The following is a 17992-nucleotide window of genomic DNA, read 5'->3' on the forward strand; positions in this document are numbered from 1 at the left end:
AGTGCCCCACTCCACAGCCCCACCCTGCCCTGCCCACCACCCCAAGCCCCGCCCTGGATCCCAGGGTCCCGCCAGGCCCGCTGGGTGGAAGGTGGTCATGTTTCAGACTGCCAATGGTTTCCACTTCCCAGACAGGCCCAGGTAGCCCCACCAGCAGCGGAGAGAGATTCCTCAATAGCCCAGTGGCTGCCAAGCCACCAAAGCAAACAGGACACCCCCCATGCGTACACGCACAGCGGCCACCCTGCCCCACACACACCCCGAGCTGGGCAGAGCCGGTCTGCTTTCCTGGGCTAGCTGCCTCGCTCTCACCCCCTCACTCATCAGTGCCCTGGACCACTCCTTCAGAAGCCCCTCCCCACCGAGCCCCTCTCCTTCTGCTCTTGAACCCGCCCTGGGCTGAGGCAGGGAGTGCTCCCCAACAGGTGTGGTCCTTGGAAAGTCTGTGTGGCCCTCCCAGGGACCAGCCACAGGTTGACAGGGACTCAGGGGCTGATTCTTAGAAACTTTTCCCAATACAAGGGGCTGTCCCTTCCCTCCACCCTTAATCCTTCCTCCTCCCCTCTGGTCTTTCCAGGAGCCCCAGGCCTGGATGGAGTGGGCAGAACAGATTGGCAGGTGACAAGCCGATACCCAAACACTCAATAAACTCTCCACCTATCCCAGTCCCTCAGCCCACACTGCCCCAAACCAATGAACAGACCAGATCACACGAGGCATTGAACTTGGAGCAAAGCTTTAATAGCAGGCACTGGACAAACCCAGGAGGCCTCCTCAGTGAGGGGCTGCAGAAAGTAGATACAGAAAGACAACAGGTCATGGACCAGTGCCCAGACGGACACTCGGGGCGTGGCAGTAGCATGCTGGGAGCTGGAGCTGATGGCTGTGCCGTGACCCTCGAGGTGGGGCTGTCACAGGCAGAAAGGGGCCTCAGTGGGTGGAGAGATGGACCTGCTTACAGAAGACCACCTCTCCAACCTGGACTTCCTCCACGATGGCACACCTGGTGGCTGGTCACCGTGGCTGCAGGCGATGGAGGAGGGAGGCACAGGGAACATCAGGCAGGAGCTCTTCCCCCCACCTGCCCCTGAGTCTGTGGTCCCCCCAGTCTCCCACACAGAAGGGTCCTCAGCCTCTCCCCCGCCTTGGGGTCCACACAGCAGGACAGGGCAGCTTCTTACCTTCCCGGGTGGGCTGCGAGGCCAGGGACAAGGAGTACTGAGTGGCCAGCCTGCAGGGAGAGGAGCACCCATCGACCCAGGGATGCCAGCCAGCCCAGGCCCCTGTAAGCACTGCTGGGGAGAAGCAGGCCCTGGCAGAGGAGGTTCCCCTAAATTGGTGAAAAATCACAGTTGGGAATGCACAGAAATTAGCACAGGCCCAAGAATGAAAGGGCAGGGGTTCAGTGCAGCAGGAAGAAGAAAAAGAAACAGCACAGCAGTAGGCCTGGAGGCACTCACCAGGAATTTACAAGGAGAAGCTGAGCAAGTGGTTTTTCCATGTCCCAGAGGACCCAACCAATAGACCCAATTAAAGCAGGAGAGACTGTTGTTAGACTATAGATGGACTTCACCATTTTCGGGGAGCAAAAAGCTGCAACGTGTGACTAAGCATGGAGACTCCAGGACACACTCAGCTGAAGGCCTGATCACCCTTCCCAACTGCAAACCCGACCACCACCCACCATGCTCTTCACCCTGTGGCTGATGGACTCACACAGTCATCGGAACCAGAAACCCAGGGCCATCAATGCCCACTCCTTCATATGTGTTCACCCAACGCTTACTGAGTCCTGACCGTGAGCCACGCTTACCCTGAGATCCAGGCATCCAGTCCTGCTGTTTTGAGCTATAACCTCTCTTCTGCGTGCACCACCTTCCTTCCCCTGCCCCCCCACCCAGCCTCCACCCCGCAAGACTTCTCTGGCCAGACTCCCTGCTCTAGCCCCCTGACGCGTCTCTCTGGCCCCACCCTGACCCCTCTGATCCATTTCTCCCTCTGTAGCCAGAGTGAATGTTCTAAAATATCTTGATGTTCATTCCCCTCTTCTGCTCCAAATCCCTCCATGGCTCCCCATTGCCTACGTGATCTAGTCCAGACGCTTTAACTTGGCAGTCAAGGCTCCTCAGTCAGACTCCAGCCTGCATCGTCAGTTTCACCTCCTGCAAACCCCACAGGTTCCCACATTCACACCTCCTGAACTTTGCTGGTGCTCAGACACCAACTTCTCCCTGGGTGAAGTGGGCCCCCAGCCCGCCCCAGCAGGTACCTGGGTGCACACTCACCGGGCGTCCTCAACCTCTAGCAAGCGGCTGTAGGTGGCGATCTCCTGCTCCAGCCGCGTCTTCACGTCCAGAAGGACCTGGTGCTCGTGGTCCTGGTGCTCTGCATCACAGCAGAGCTCGCACAGCTGCTGTTCCATGCTTCTGATGAGCCCCTGCAGCTGGGCCAGCTGGGTCCTGTAACACACCTCCGTCTCCACCAGGCTGCCCTCCAGCGATGCTTTCTGTGGGCCAAGAGATAGGTGGTGCGATGAGATGGACGTGGGACCCTTCCCCATGGCAGAGCACTAGAGAGGAGCCCCTCCTGTATGGAGCTGTGGGTGCTGCCGGCACAGTTGGGTGGTAGTGCACCCAGCCACTGAGTGTGAAGGGACAGGCTGGGTGGGGACTCTGGTTCTCCAAGCAGGGGTCTATAAGGCTGCGCTCACCCTGGGGTGACAGGTACAGGGTGGGGAGGGGACAGAGGCCCTACCTTGCTGAGCTGGGACGGCTCAGGTTCTGCACAGAGATGTAGAGCTCCATATCTCCATCCTGCCGCTCTGCAGGGCCTCTGTGTTGGTGGCCACCTCGCAGTTCAGCCTCTCTCTCTGGAAGGCAGAGTGGGCCACAGGGGTTTATGGAGACTTTCACAAGTGGGGCACAGGAAAGGGGCTGTTCCTGAGCCCTCGCCTCCCAGAACCATCCCCTAAACCCTCCCTGGCCTCTATGGGGCCCCAAAGGCACCTGCACACAAAGACCCTCTGCACCCACGTTGGACCTTGGAGGAATTCAGCCTACTCTGCGGTCGTTTGCATTTCTTACTCCTACCGAACTACAGCACCTCAAAGACAGGCACTGGGTGTTATTCTTTTGCACCTGTTGCTGTCCCTAGGACACCGGACACACTCAGCCTGTGCTTGCCAAGGGTATGTGTATGTACTCAAATACACACATCCTGTAAACAGCTGTGGTGGAAACCCAAGACCAGACTTGCAGAGAACTGGATCTATTTTGCAGGCCACAGTGAAGGGCTGTGTGAGCTTGAGTCCTCTCTGAGCCTCACATTTTACATCGAAGACATGAAGGGCTGGTCCGACTGGTTTCCAAAAGTCCTTCCAACTGGGACAGCCTGTGAATCTGCCGGTGTTCCAACTGCACCAGCACACGGCGTATGTGCCCACACGTGTGCACACCTGCTTACACACGGCCACCCACCACGCTGAAGAACCAGCCCTGGGCATCCTTGCAGCTCTTCTCCACCAGTTTCTTGTCCTGGTCACGCATCTCATTCAGGATGCAGCTCAGGTTCACTCCAGGCACAGTGTCCATCTTCACACTGACATCCTCGTCCACCTGACCTCAAAGGGCGTTCATTTCCTGGGCAGAGAGGACAGCAGGAACTCACCCAAGGCCATCCTGGGGAAAGACCCTGGGGCCTGCCTTCTCTCCCTCGGAGAGACAGGTACGGATGACAGACAGACAGACAGACAGACACAGATAGGCCAACAGCTCCTCACCCTGAAGGTGGAGATGGATGTTGTCATTACTCAAACATACAGGGCTATGAATATCAGCAACCTCCCCCAACACACACTGTGACTCGGGACTGGACTTCACCCATCCCCAACAAGTGCTAAGCCCCGAGAGATGACAACCCCCCAGCACGGCAGAGAATGACCATGGGCGACCTCACTCACTGCCCTGACCTCGCCCCTACCACCGCCTTGCCCCCACCACCAACCCCAAAGCACAGGCATGCAAAAAGCAACCTTACGCTGGTGTCACCGCACCAGGCCCCGTTAGCAAATGTTAATCTGCTGGAGGAAAGCAATTGTATAACCAGCCTCAACGCCAGGGGGAAACACCTTCCGGGTGTCCTGCTTCTCGGGGAGTAGGCTCCCCCAGCTTAGAGCAGCACAGAGCTCGGCTGAGAAGGAAGCCACAGGACAGGGCATGTAAGACCTCCTGACCGCCCCGGCAGGACCTTGGATCTCTATCCTTGGGTTCAGCCTTGGAGTCCCTGGGACCTAGAACCTTCTGGAAAGGAGAGGCAGGAGAGGGGCAGAGAGGTGGGGTGGATACGAGTCCGACAGACCTGAAGGAGGGTCCCTGTGCAGCCGTAGATATATCCCTTAACCTCTCTGAGCCTCAGTTTCTTCACAGGTCAAAAGGAAGAAAGAGTATCTTTCTCCCAGTTTTTGTATCAGTTGAGATAATGGCTGTGAGTCACTTGTAGTGCTGGGCAGAAGTTCCTTGTTTTAATGACTATCACTATTATAATTAATTATAATAATTGGCATTGTGTGTTCTTACACTGAGTTACTCATTAGTTAGTTAACTGCAGTGAGCTGAGCCTCAAGGGACAAATGAAGTCTATTTGAGAAAAGGGCTCCTCCAGGCCTCACCCAGGGTCCTCTGAGGGTCAGAGCTAGGCATCCATAAAGGATGGGAACTGGACTGGAAGCATGGCCCAACCCAGGGAGGTTCTGGGCCCCAGCCTCGCTTGCTTCCAGGTGAATTTCTGCTGCATTCCCTGAGCTGAACTCACCTCCTCATGGTTCTTCTTCAGGTAGACCAGGTCCTCCTTGAGGTTCTCAGGCTGCATCTCCAGGTTGGCTCCAGGCAGGGTCAGCTTGTCCAGCCCCTGGGGCAGCTCCAGAGACCCAGCCTCACTTGGTGCAGAAGTCATCAGCAGCCAGGTGGGCATCATCCACCTGTAGCCAGTATGAAGCTGGAATTACCGATCACAGCCACCACGATCGGGGAGAGACGTGGGCTCCATGAGAAAATGCCCTTGGCAGCCTCCAGGAGACCCTCCAACACCCTTCTTGCAGCCTTTTTGGAAGTGAGCCAGGGTGGGGGTGATGAGAGTCCCCGTGGTCTTCTCTGAGCACCCTCCTGGGAATTTCTGGGACCCAGCCAAGGCCCTCGGGGGTTAAAGGGTGATGGGGGTAGGATGCCCAGGCATGGGTAAAGATGGATGCCAGGAGAGAGACCCTTATGCAGCCGTCTCCCACCATGGGGGTCATGGCCTAAGCTGCCTAGGCCTCACTCCCTCTTCCCCAATGAAATTCACCTCTAGGCTCAGCTGCCACCTCCTCCAGAAAGCCCTCTTGGATTACCTTTCTGTGTCTCTTTTCCGGGCCATACCTCCTCCCTTCTCCAGCCCGGGTGCACACTCACTGGGCGTCCTCAACCTCCAGCAAGCGGTGGTAGGTGTCAATTAGTTCAACTTCTATGGAAAAAGTAGGGAGGTATCTCAAAGAACTAAAAGTACAACTACCTTTCGACCCAGCAATCCCACTACTGGGTATCTACCCAAAGGGAAAGAAATCATTATATAAAAAGGCACTGCACTCCCATGTTTATCACAGCATAACTTACAACAGCAAGGTCATGGAACCAAGGTAAGTATCCACCAACGGTTCATTAAATAAAGAAAATGTGGTGCATATACACCACAAAGTACTAGGCAGTCATAAAAAAGAACAAAATCATGTCCTTTGCAGCAACACAGATGCAGCTGAAGGTCATTATCCTACGTGAATTAACGCAAAAACAGCCAAATATTGCATTTTCTCATGTATTAAGTGAGAACAATGGGTACACAGGGAGCCCAGGCTATTTATTTGTGCTCAAAAAAAGAAACAGGTGGTGAGGCTGTGGGGGTTTAAAGGAAGCAATGTATCAAGTGAGTGAGCTACAGCTGCGATGGTGTAGCATTTTCTTTGAAACATGTGGCTACTTGAGATAATGGGAGTGCTAGAAGCAAGGAGCCAGCAAGTCTAGCAGACATGCAAGCTCTGCCTCAGCTTCTCTCCCAACACTCAGCTTTTCTCCCAACAGGACAGAGTAAGCAGCAGTAAGTCTCAGAGCCTTAGGACCAGAGGGGCCCCAGTGCCCCTTGGCCAGGATGCTGAGCCCAGAGAGGGCAAGATCCTGACTTGAGGTCACACAGCAGCAAGCCCTGGCAGAACTAGCATTCCTTTTGGAGAAATTCAGAGTTCATGGTCCCCAGGAGTCATTCATTTACTCATGCATTCATTCGGCAATTACATATTGAGCATCTACTATATGCCAGGCCCACTTCTAGCCCCAGCATACAGCAGTGGACAAGACAAACCAATTCCCACCTCAAGGAGCTGATGCTCTGGTCACAGAGACAGAAAAGAAGTGAAGAAGATCACATTACATGATGCTAAAGGCTAGCAAATAAAATTACACCACATGGAATGTTGGAGTCACTCTGTCCAAATGGTGGCCACTAGCCCCATATGGCTATTTGAGTTTCAAGCAATTGGAGTAATTGAAAATTAAAGAGTTTAGCGGCCGGGCAATGGTGGCTCACGCCTGTAATCCTAGCACTTTGGGAGGCCGAGGCGGGCGGATCACGAGATCAGGAGATCGAGACCATCCTGGCTAACACGATGAAACTCCATCTCTACTAAAAATACAAAAAAATTAGCTGGGGGTGGTGGTGGGCACCTGTAATCCCAGCTACTCAGGAGGCCGAGGCAAGAGAACGGAGTGAACCCGGCAGGCGGAGCTTGCAGTGAGACGAGATCACGCCGCTGCACTCCAGCCTGGGGAACAGAGTGAGACTCCATTTCAAAAAAAAAAAGACTTTAGCAGAGCTGCAGCCGTGCTTGGAGCTTGCAGACGCCACATCACTGTCACCACTACCTCGCTCCCATCCCCGCCGCAGCCAGGGGCATGCTCAGTCACCCCGGGCAGTGTCCCCGCTGTGGCCCTGTTGCGATGGCCACCAAGGTTGACAAAGAGGCTTGCGGGGAGGCCTACAACCTGGCGCGAGACGATGGCTTGGCCATCATCTGGGTGACTTTTAAATATGACGGCTCCATCATCGTCCCTGTTGGGCAAGGAGCAGAATACCAGCACTTCATCCCCCAGTGCACAGACGAGATCTGGTTGCTTGCCTTCGTGTGCGTCACCACGAGGGATGCCACCCTCATCAGGTGGATCGGCAAGAACGTCAATACCTTGGTGAAGGAGGTCATACAGGATTTCGCTAAGGAGTTTGTGATCAGTGATCAGAAGGAGCTGGAGGGAGATTTAATGAAAAGCGAACTGAAGAAGACTGGGGGAATCAATTACAACGCCCAGATGGAGTAACCCCAGCTTCCCCACTGCCCCTTGCCAAAGTCATCTGTCTGCTCCCCGGGGAAGGGGCCCTCAGGCCTCAGCTACCAACCCACCAGCCCACCAGGGAGAAAAGAATCCATGAGAGGCAGCACCCGCCACCCTGCGTCCACAGCCCCCACCTTCCTGCTTCCCTTAGAACACTGCTGTGTCTTATCTCATGAAGCTCGTGGAACCCCTTTCTTTGATTTTTTTCTTTTCTCCCCCTCTCTTTTGTTCTAAAGAAAAATCATTTTGATGCAAGATCCTGCCTGTCATCAGATCCGAGGTGCCTCCTGCGGTAACCCCTTTTCCTGGCATTTCTCTTACATATAATGAGGCTGCCTAGTGGGATCTGCACGACCTCATGTTGCTTCTGGAGCCTAGATTTGTTTTGCCATCTCAGTTTTCTTAGGTCCCCCTTCCTGTTTACCACTGAGGGGCAGCTGGGCCAGGAGCAGCACCTGGTGACTGCAGCCTTCATAAGCACACAAGTCCATTCCTGTAGTCAGGCCCAGACCTCCTGGAATCTGCCCCGGGCTCCCTCATCCCACCTTCATCCAGAGTTGCCTAAGTTGCATCTCTGGCAAATGCAGGATTGCTCAGTGGTGAGAAGGTTAGGTCTGGCTCTGACCGAATAAGGGATAAAATTTGCCTTAAAACTTGCCTGGCCGGGTGGATCACCTGAGGTCAGGAGTTCGAGACCAGCCTGACCAACATGGTGAAACCCCGTCTCTACTAAAAATACAAAAATTAGCCGGATGTGGTGGCGGGTGCCTGTAATCCCAGCTACTCAGGAGGCCGAGGCAGGAGAATGGCTAGAACCCAGGAGGCGGAGGTTGCACTGAGCTGAGATTGTGCCATTACACTCTAGCCTGGGGACAGGGAAAGATTCTGTCTGAAAAAAAAAAAAAAACAACCTCGCCTGGCAGTGGCTTTGCGACAGAGTCTGAAACCACCCGTTCCCACCCTCTTGACTGAAATGTCCTAGTGACACAGAGAAGGGCAAAGGTCTGAGCCCAGAGTTGACAGAGGGACTATTTCAGGGTTCACTTCAGGGGCTCCCAAAGCAATGAGGGTGTTAGGGAGAGAGGCCCAGGGTGGGGACTGGGAATTTAAGGAGAGCTGGGAACGGATCACTTAGGTTCAGGAAGCTTCTGTACAAGCAGTAAGGATGGCTTGGGCCAGAGGGCTACTCCTCCTGTGGTGCTAGCGGTGAGCAAAGCCCTGGGCTCATGGCAGCACTAAAGCCCATGGCTTCAATCCTACACCTGCACCACACATTCAAAAGGATCATTTTTTGTTGTTTGTTTGTTTTTTGTTTTGTTTTTGTTTTTGTTTTTTGAGGCACAGTTTCACTCTTGTTGCCCTGGCTGGAGTGCAGTGGTACTATCTCGGCTCACCGGAACCTCCGCCTCCCAGGTTCAGGCCATTCTCCTGCCTCAGCCTCCTGAGCAGCTGGGATTACAGGTGCCCACCACCATGTCTGGCTAATTTTTGTATTTTTAGTAGAGACGGGGTTTCTCCATGTTGGTCAGGCTAGCCTCAAACTCCTGACCTCGTGATCCGTCCACCTCAGCCTCCCAAAGTGCTGGGATTACAGGCGTGAACCACCGTGCCCAGCCTGATTTGTTTTTAAAGAAAGATGAGATTGTCTTGGTTCTTCATGAGAAAATTTTATATAGCTCTTTTTCTTTTTTTCCTTGCTCATTTCATTTTGGAAAAGAAATCTGTACTGTATTGGGATTGCGAAGAACATCTCTGCACTCAAACAGTTTACAGAAAGAAATTTTGTTTTTCAAAAAAAATAAAAAGAAGAAAATTAAGAGTTCAGTTCTTCCATCGCAATAGCCACATTTCAGGGGCTTGTTAGCCGCACGGGGTGGCTGCTGTGTTTGACAGCGAACGGGGAGCATTTCCATCACTGAAGGAACTACCGGACAGGGCTGGTGTGGGGAGTGCACAGAGGGCTGGGGGCTGGATGGCCGAGGACAGCGACATCTGGGTTGTCCTGCTGAGAAGGGGTGGCCACATGGTGACACACCAGGAGGAGGGGACAGCAGGTGCAATGTTGGCCAGACGGGGATGTGCTTGATGTGTTCAAAGGACAGAAAAGACAGACGGAGCAAGGGGAGAGGAGAGCAAGGTGGGGCTGGGGAGGTCAGCGGTGGGGCCTCTGGGGCCTGGGTAAACAGTTTTCTGCTTTACGTGGAAGGCGTCAGGAAGCCATGGGGAGAGGGGTTAAGCAGGGGAGTTGCATAGTTTGAACAATATATGAAGAATGGATTTGTGGGGGCAAGAGTGGAAGGAAGGAGCCCTAGGGAGGAGGCTATTGTGTCACAGAGAGGAAAGACTGAGACCCGGGTGATACGGGGGTGGGGAACAGCCATAGCCGAAGCCTCAGGGTTCTGGATCCAGCTGTGCCTGAAGTTGATCCCCCCTCTCCTCCCTTTCTCCTCTTGGTTACTGGGCACTGACTGGAACACCCCTCATTACTACCACCCACCTATCCCCTCCCTCACAAAACACCTGACTGTCTCTCCTCCTATCTCTGTGCAGAGCACTCAGAAGGGACCTAGGCTTCCCTCAGTGCCCTGGGCCCAATTTCTTTTCAGAACTTTTCCCCCCTGACTGCATCCCAGGGCTGATAAGATAGCCCTGTCTAGTCACCTTGGAGTCCTGGGAAGATTCCTTAGGCCACCTGGTGTTTCACTGACTTTCCCCACCAGGATGCTTTCCTGGAGCTGTGAGCAGGAGGCAGGAGGAACCAGCTGGCTCTGGGTCTGGGGGTGGAGGCAACTAAAAGAGAAGGCTCAGCTTCAGTTGCAACTGGAGGGACTTTGGTTTTCTCTTAGGAAGAACTTCCCCTCTATAAAAGGGCCGATGCCATCCTCGTGCATTCACAGCGGAGGGGATCTCCTAGGGGCCTAAGAATAAGGTGGAAAACCTGCTCCCTAGGGTGGGTACCAAGAGGCCGGCTCTGCTCCTCCAAAGCTGGGCACTCATTCTCCCTCAGGACCTTTGCAGCTGCAGTTCCCTCTGCCAAGACCCCAGGTGGCTCCTCCATCTCGCTCCAAAGTCTCCTCCTGAGTGGCGTTGCGGATTGCCTGATGAGCACGGCTCCCTCCTCGGAAGCACCTTGTCTGTCTCCTGTACTAGAACGCCAGCTCCACAAGGGCAGGGCGGTTGTTGATCTTGTTTCTCTCTGTCCCCTCCTGTCTGACACTGTGCCTGGCACATGGTGGATGTTCCCAGGAGGTTTCTGGAATGAGCAGATGTCTGGGGTGAGTGTGGGCAGGTGGCTGCCATGCATACAGAGCCTGCCAGGCCCTAGTGGGCTCAGACTCACCCTCTCACTGCACCCTCCCAGTGGGGATCAGGACTTTGAGGCTTAGAGAGGTGAGGTCACTCACCCAAATGGCACAGCCAGTATGTGGTGGCCCTGGTCTGGAGAGGCCTGGAGGGGACTTGGGGGGGTTGGAGGCTGGGCCAGGGCCTGGGGACACACTGCCTTTCCGCATGACAGCTCTCCATCCGTCCACAGGCCCTGCTTCCCCTGCCAAGTCCCACCTGGGGCTTCCCTGACCACCTTAGGTCCTCAGGTACAATTGCACTGCAAGGCACTGGCCTGTGGCACACAGAAGAGGGCCCTGCAGCCCAGATTCACACAGCAAGTGAATGAGGCATAGCTGAAAACCGTGCGTATGGTGGCCTCAGCCGGGCCACACTGGGTAGACCCAGACTTGGGCAGGCATGTGGCTCCACCCATCACTGGGCCGGCAGCCCTGCCTCCTGAGTGCACCTGCTACACCCAGGGCTTGCACCAGCTTTGGGGACAGGGGCCGCCTCTCCAAAAAATGCAGCTCATTGTCAGTGATGGGGCAGGATTCCTTCCCGATGGCCACACCCAGGGGGGGATCTGTCCAGATGGACAAGCGCAGCTGAGTGAGGTGCCTGAGGAAGTCTGACCCCCTCCATCCTGTGATGGATCCTACCTGTGTCCACCCCATCCTGTCTGACTGCTTCAGCTCACTCTGTCTGTCCCAGCCAGTCTGGAGCCATACTTCCTTGTAGCTCTGTGGCTCCTTCCAACTGCACGGCCTTCCCTGGGCCACTTCCCCTGCCTAGAAGGCTCTTTGCCCGTTGTTTCCGTTTCTGCTAGGTCTTGGTTACGTGGTCTTGGTTGGAGGACGGTCTCTCTGATCGACACCCCTGCCCGTGGGACCCTCTCCCTGTGGCCTCCATGCTCAAAATGCTCATTCTCACCTGCCTCAGGGCCTTTGCACTTGCCCTGCCCCAACCCAAGCTAGTCTTTCCAGGCCACCCTCTCCGAGCCACCTCCCCACTTCCCCAAACAGGCTCCTCTGCCCTTGGCCTGCAGGGCAGTTATGGTTGCCTTTGCCTGTGGAGTCGGTGCTCACTATGGCACAGCCCTGCCTGTAAGCTGGGGAATCCAGCCATTGAGGAGTGCTTGCCAAAAGAATGAATGAGCACCCTTCAGAAAGGGTCCTGGACCCACATGTGTCCCCCAACACAGTGTGTGACCTGGGACGACAGCTCCCCCTCTGCACTGCATCTCCTCTGTCCACTGTGGTGGTTGGTCCCCAAGATCCCCAAGGGCCCTGCTGGCCCTCACCTTTGAAGCTCTGGGACACAATTATCAAGGGAGACCACTGCCTACACTCCCAGAGCTGAGAGCACAAACAAGCTCTTAAATCAATCAGCGACATCACCTTCCAAGTGAAGAAAACAGGACCTCTGGCCTAGACACAAGGACAGGGGAGAGGAGGCTGCAAACATCCCTGAGTGAGCTGGCTAGGAAGGGTCACTAGTTGCCTGGACCTGGAAGTTGAGGGACCCACAGAGAAAAGCAGGGAATCTCAGCTGGAAGATGGGGATGATATCAACTCAGACCCTCAGACTCAACCTGGTGAGGGAGAGTGGATATATCAAGACTCCTTACGCCACCAAAATCAACTCTGGCTAAGTCCAGCCAAGGCAAAGCAAGAAGGGAATGTGCCGGGAGATTATAGGTTAGCTCATAGAACCAAAAGAAGAAAAGAAGTAAAAAAACCACATCCTGGAAAGGACTGGTTTGGATATGAAATTTAGGTAGCCGAACTAATGGGAAGCCCTTGGATGAATGAATTCCCTCTGATTCCATCCTCAAGTCACTCTACTCAAGATCCAAATTTCCTTAATATATAAAGAGTTCCTACAGTCAATAAGACAAATGAAACTGCAATCGAAAATATGAAATAGAAAAAATGTCCACGAGTATAGACATGAACAGATAGTTCACAGAGCAGGAAGTAGAAATGGCCCTTGAGCTGATAAACAATGTTTAGCCTAATATATAACCAGAGAAGTGCAAATGGAAACTACAGTTTAAGCCCATTTTTCACTTATCACATTGGCAATTATCCAAAACTGTGATAACACTGTGTCACCATGGGTGTGGGAGACAAGCTCTCTCCTGCATTACTGGTGGGAGTATAAACTGGTAAGGCCACTATCAACATTTTTTTTAATGCACATGCCTTTTGATCTGAAAACTTACTCCTAGAAATGTACAGGGACACTTGCAAATGTGCTGATGGCCCTAGTACAAGGATATTTATTGTGGTGTGTTTCTCTTGTAATAGCAAGACTGGAAACAATCTAAATACCCATCAATAGAGGTTGGTGAGCTCCATAATAACGTAGCCACTCAGTGAACTCTGCAACTGTGAAAAAGAAGAATGAGGTAGCTTTACATACTGCAGCCTGGAATGATCTTCCAGATAGACTATCCCATGAAAAAGCATGGTGCATGCATATTCGTGAAAGCCTCCATTTTTGGTCTCTGAATTCAGAATGCTCACCTTTGTCTTGTGTGGCTACTGTCCACTCTCCACCTGTAGGTCACAGAAGCGTGACCCCTCGTACCTTTCTATGTGCCCCTTTTCTGGCCTGAATGGCCTTGGTTTCCAACTGTCCACACCTATGACTCTTTGCAGCAAGACTGTCATCAGGCTATTGGAGCCTCTTGGTCCTTTCTGCAGAGAGCTGGAAGTGTCCCACTGCCTCAGGATGGCCCTTCACTAATGACTGACATGTGTATCCTTAGCTCAGGCTGGGAAACGGAGATGTGACTCCACTCCACAGTCCCCCGAGGGACCTGCTTCTGTAGGATTTTGCCTGGGGCCACAGCCTTGCATGGCTTCTCCCCTCTCTGTCTGCTACCCCCTTTCCCTTACTGCGCTCCTTGGGTGCCTGTCCTTCATCAGTCACTGCCATACAAATCAGGATCTACTTCTGGGGAATGTGACCCAGATAGCTTCCCCCTTACCCTGCTCCTTGCTTTTTGCAGGTAGGGTGTGCCTGCATATGCAAGTGTATGATGCAACGTGGGCACCGTGGTTCTTCCCGTTTCACAGGTGAGGGACCTAGAGCTCCACGGCTCGCCTTAGGTCCCAGGTAGGAAGTGGCAAGCGACTTTGAAGCCACGTAGTCTGGCTCCAAGAACAAACTCACATCCACTGAAAATATTGAAAATAGCCTAGAGAAGGTAAGCTCCAAGTACAAGGAAAATCTGCATTGTTAAAGCAGGCCAAGCATGGAAGAACTCTCATTTATTTTCCCAAAAGATTCTATTCTGTAGTCTTCCCTTCATAAACACACATCCCACTGTCAGATGCAAATCCTAGAGCTAGAAATGGGGCATTCAAGAAAGACAGAGCTCCTGGGAACAGCACGTTTGCAGACATGGGAAGGGACCCTCCCACTGGTTTTGGTTTCTCCATGGCTATGGGCAAAGCCTGCCTGCTCTGCATCCGGGGATCTTGGTCAGGTGTTGGAATCGGTGGGTGGATTGCCGGTACATTTGCACTGTGTCCTAGAGAGCCTCTATGCATTTCAACTCTGATTCTCCTTCACCATCTATGTGCAGCCCACAACCGCAGGACCCCGCCCCTGGCCCTGAATCTCCCATGTCCTGGCGCCAAGCAGGTGAGTCAGCCTAGGAGGAGGAAGGGCTCCCGGAAGCCAAGCCCATGCTGGGGTGGTGAGAAACAACTTTCCTATGCAAGGAGGTGCCTGAGCACCCCCTGATGGTCAAGCCTGAGCCCCCTCACCTCCCCGAAGTGTGATGGAGGAAAGGCCGGAAAGAGGCAGCAGTCTTCACCCACTGAGGCTGAGTTTCTCACTCATGCCAAGTTTTACATAAGCTGGGGACCATGTGCTTCAAGGCTAGAGGTCTTGGCGGGCCCAGGGCCTTGGAGGGGCCTGGATGACCAAGGGGTCCGTGGCTTAGGCCCTGCCTCTGCATGGGGAATCTTGGGAAGGTTGGAAGCCCACAGCCCCTACCGAGAAAGGAGCCATGGGCCAGATCTTTTGCACAAATCCCACCTGTGCTCCTTGACCGCCCCTCCCCACCGGGGCCACGGTGACCAGGAGGCAGAAGCCTCCATCCGTTCACAGGACCAGCATCCTGGGAGGACCCTGGCCTGAGCGAGCTGCTGAAGGGGACCCTCATGCTGGATGGTTGGCTACTTGGCACCCTTTTCTCTGTGGAGCAGGGATGACATTTGAGAGCCACCAAAGATGGGCAGGAAAAACAAAGGCCACCACAAAGGAAGCTGAAGGCAGAAAGAGATGCAGAGAAAGTGGGAGAAACTCGGCTGTGCTTTGTGGGGGCCCTGCAGGGACATCGGCTCCTGAAGGGATGAGAGAAAGGGTCCCCTGAACTTTGACACTCTGTTCTTCTCAAGGCCTGGCCAGCCCTGTGGCTCCTTAGAGGAATCTGGGTGCCTTCTGTCCCTAGTACCTGACAAGCCCCAGGTGAGAAGACCTGAGTTCACCTGCGCTGCCACGTGTAACCTGATGGCCCTGGCACCCTCGCAGGGTTTGAATAGCTGCCCTTTCCACCTGTTTCCCGGATTTTCCACACCACCCAGAGGCTCATATTCAACCCCACAGCCTACAAGTCAGCCAGGGGCCTTTGGCCACATGTACTGATGATGAGAATCACTGGATTGTAAGCTGTAAAAGCACAAGGATGGTGTTTTGTTCCCCGCTACCCCCTGCACCTGAGGCCCAGGGAGGATTGCTGCTCGGATGAAGGAGAGCGAGTGTTCATGGAGCTCTTTGCAGAAGCCACGGGAAGCCCTTCCTGTGCCTTCTCAGGTTTAGTTCTCAGACAGCCCCACTTTCCAGATGAGGAAACAGAGGCTAAGAAAGGAGAATAAACTTGTCCAGAATCAGTGGTGAGGCTGGGATTTGAATCCCATCCTGTTGGACTCAACACTTCCTCTGAAAAGACAGGATAAGGGAGCTTCCTACTTCTGGCTTTGGGAACCGGCAGAGAGGAGCAGAGTTGGGCCAGACGCGTCACCTCCCAAGCTCTGCGGCACCCAAGGGTTCCCAGGGTCCTCTTCCTCCATTTGGCTCTTTTCTTCTCTGGACTCTCCCACCTTCGAGGATTGGACTCCTTGCAGGGAGCGCAAAGCAGAGAACAGAGGAGGCCCAACTGAGGAGAGTGTGCTGGAGCAGATGGAGCACAGAGAGAGCCCCCAAACCTTAGCCTCACCTGGAGAGTGGCTCCCTGCAAGCTGAGCCCCTGTGTGCCCAGAAGTGACATAGGCATTCAGGAAAGGGACTGAGGGAGGAAAGAAGGAGCCATTCCTCTTCCCAGGGGCGCCTGCCCTGGGTTCCTGAGGGAGGCTCCATGTTTACATCTCCAAAGGCCAGTCCCAAACACGCCAGAGTGCAATGCCCTCCCTCAGACCCAGGGCCATCCTCGGAGCAGCCGGGAGGCAGCCTGTCCACTCTTACCACAGGCAGGTCGCCCAGGCAGCCTCCTCTTAGAGCTCCTGAATTCTGGAGCATGAAATAGAAATGTGAAAAACAGGCTGGGCGTGGTGGCTCACACCTGTAATCCCAGCACTTTGGGAGGCTGAGGTGGGCAGGTCATTTGACATCAGGAGTTTGAGACCAACCTGGCCAACACAGTGAGACCCTGTCTCTACTAAAATACAAGTAAATAAGCCAGGCATGGTGGTCCACACCTGCAGTCCCAGTTACCTGGGAGGCTGAGGCAGGAGAATCATTTGCATCCAGGAGATGGAAGTTGCTGTGAGCTGAGATCGCACCGCTGCACTCCAGCCTGGGCAAGAGAATGACACTCTGTCAAAAAAAAAAAAAAGAATGAGAGAGAAAATAAATACGACAAAATGTTAACAATGGGTGAATGTAGGTGAAGAGTATGTGGCAGGGTGTTTTTTATTCTCGCAAATTTTGTGTAGGTTTGAAGTTACCACAGAATAGCAAATATAAGAATGATTCCTGCAGACACACGAGTGATTTCAACTGTTCACAGGGCTCAGGCAGGAAGCAGATCTCTTGCCCTCCCTCTGATCCAGGTCACTTAGTCCAGTCCCTGAAAGCAGTGGATGGACAACCATGCCACCCTCTTTCTTCAAATACACCTTATTTTGTATCCTGCCCTTTTTGTGTAGCATTAGATCATGAGCATTTTCCTCTGCTATAAATGTCCCCTCAAATATGTTGTTTCTTGTGACTCCCTAGTGTTCTACCCACGATTTCCTCGGCTGCTCCACCTTGGTGGAATTCAGTGATTCTTCTGCCTTTTCACCATTGTAAGTGATGCTTTGATGAAAAGCTTTGTAGGTTCATCTGTGCTGCACCTCTGACCAGTCTTTTCTGGAAGACTCTAAGGAAGGAGACAGGGGCATGGACCACTGGCTTTTGAAGGCATTCGGTGGGTCCTGCCATGCCGCCTTCCCACATTCCAGAAGGGTGGTCCCAGTGAACAACCCACCAGCACGGGGCCCCGCTCCATGGTGCCCCAGCAAGGCCAGCGTCCCTATACAGGAAAATTAAACCATTTGCCAATTCAAGGCACTCCAGATGGATCTCTCTGTTTTCTTTGATGACTGATGTGTCCTTTTTTGTTTCCTTCAGAGCACTAAGACTGTGCATTTTCCCAGGACTGTCAGGGTGGTTTTCTTACCAATGTGTGGTGGTTGTGAGGGTTCAATTGAGTCGATGCCTGCAAAGTGCTGGCCCAGCACAGGAAAAGCACCCAGTGCTTGCTGGCTGTTTGCTGCGCCACAGCCCAGGTCACAGGCTGGGTCAGCTGCTCACTGGCAGTGCCACTGTAGCCAGGCTGCTCACCTCACTGAGCCTCAGTTTCCTTCTCTGTGAAAGGGGAGCACCTTCCTCACAGGGCTGTGGTGGAGTGAAGGCAGGTAAAGCACTTAGGAGGGCGCCCTCCCATGCTTGGCACTCTGCAAATGCTACTGGGATTTGCACAGGAAGGAAATTGACCCTTTGTCCTATTTATTACCCATAGTTTCCTTCCGGAATCCGAAAGTGGAGTGTGGTGTGGCTGGCAGAGCAGGCTGCCCAAGGGAGCCAGGAGAGGGGAGGACGGAAGGGGTGGGAGCCGTCTTCTCCAAGGCTGCTGTAATGCTGACCTAGAGAAGACCCCCAGAGTGGGGCATGTCCCACACTCAGCTGGCCCTGCTCCTGCCACCAGGCCTGGCACACATCGGATGCCCCCTGAGTCATGTCGAGGAAGGAATGTCTAA

The 17992-nt window shown here is 53.8% G+C and overlaps 2 pseudogenes, besides 8 other annotated features; one reads left to right on the forward strand and one right to left on the reverse strand.

Moving 5' to 3' along the window:
* Nucleotides 1-3966: part of a biological region, named in NCBI's record as "distal SMS-REP block C recombination region", that runs on past the window's edge. NCBI's record gives its function as "recombination_partner: LOC106020710".
* On the reverse strand, nucleotides 485-3637 carry KRT17P4 (keratin 17 pseudogene 4; annotated as a pseudogene).
* Nucleotides 629-2863: a non allelic homologous recombination region, noted in NCBI's record as "sub-region 3, recombines with sub-region 3' within the proximal SMS-REP block C recombination region". NCBI's record gives the evidence for it as "EXISTENCE:nucleotide sequencing assay evidence [ECO:0000219][PMID:14639526]" and "EXISTENCE:restriction fragment detection evidence [ECO:0001124][PMID:14639526]".
* Nucleotides 1140-2234: a meiotic recombination region, noted in NCBI's record as "meiotic double-strand break mapped by DNA meiotic recombinase 1 chromatin immunoprecipitation followed by single-stranded DNA enrichment and sequencing in the germ cells of some male individuals with PRDM9 A/A and PRDM9 A/C genotypes". NCBI's record gives the evidence for it as "EXISTENCE:chromatin immunoprecipitation-seq evidence [ECO:0000229][PMID:25395542]".
* Nucleotides 1681-1696: a nucleotide motif, noted in NCBI's record as "nucleotide motif; similarity to the predicted 16-mer PRDM9 C-type binding motif, CCNCNNTNNNCNTNNC".
* Nucleotides 1968-1980: a nucleotide motif, noted in NCBI's record as "nucleotide motif; similarity to the predicted 13-mer PRDM9 A binding motif (LD hotspot motif), CCNCCNTNNCCNC".
* Nucleotides 3904-3966: a non allelic homologous recombination region, noted in NCBI's record as "sub-region 4, recombines with sub-region 4' within the proximal SMS-REP block C recombination region". NCBI's record gives the evidence for it as "EXISTENCE:nucleotide sequencing assay evidence [ECO:0000219][PMID:14639526]" and "EXISTENCE:restriction fragment detection evidence [ECO:0001124][PMID:14639526]".
* Nucleotides 6459-6959: an enhancer, noted in NCBI's record as "H3K4me1 hESC enhancer chr17:16756688-16757188 (GRCh37/hg19 assembly coordinates)". NCBI's record gives its function as "activates a minimal SCP1, AML or CMV promoter by ChIP-STARR-seq in naive H9 embryonic stem cells {active_cell/tissue: H9 hESC(naive)}" and the evidence as "EXISTENCE:reporter gene assay evidence [ECO:0000049][PMID:30033119]".
* On the forward strand, nucleotides 6894-9206 carry COTL1P1 (COTL1 pseudogene 1; annotated as a pseudogene).
* Nucleotides 6960-7460: an enhancer, noted in NCBI's record as "H3K4me1 hESC enhancer chr17:16757189-16757689 (GRCh37/hg19 assembly coordinates)". NCBI's record gives its function as "activates a minimal SCP1, AML or CMV promoter by ChIP-STARR-seq in naive H9 embryonic stem cells {active_cell/tissue: H9 hESC(naive)}" and the evidence as "EXISTENCE:reporter gene assay evidence [ECO:0000049][PMID:30033119]".

Source organism: Homo sapiens, chromosome 17, assembly GCF_000001405.40.
Source record: "Homo sapiens chromosome 17, GRCh38.p14 Primary Assembly".
NCBI lineage: Eukaryota > Metazoa > Chordata > Mammalia > Primates > Hominidae > Homo > Homo sapiens.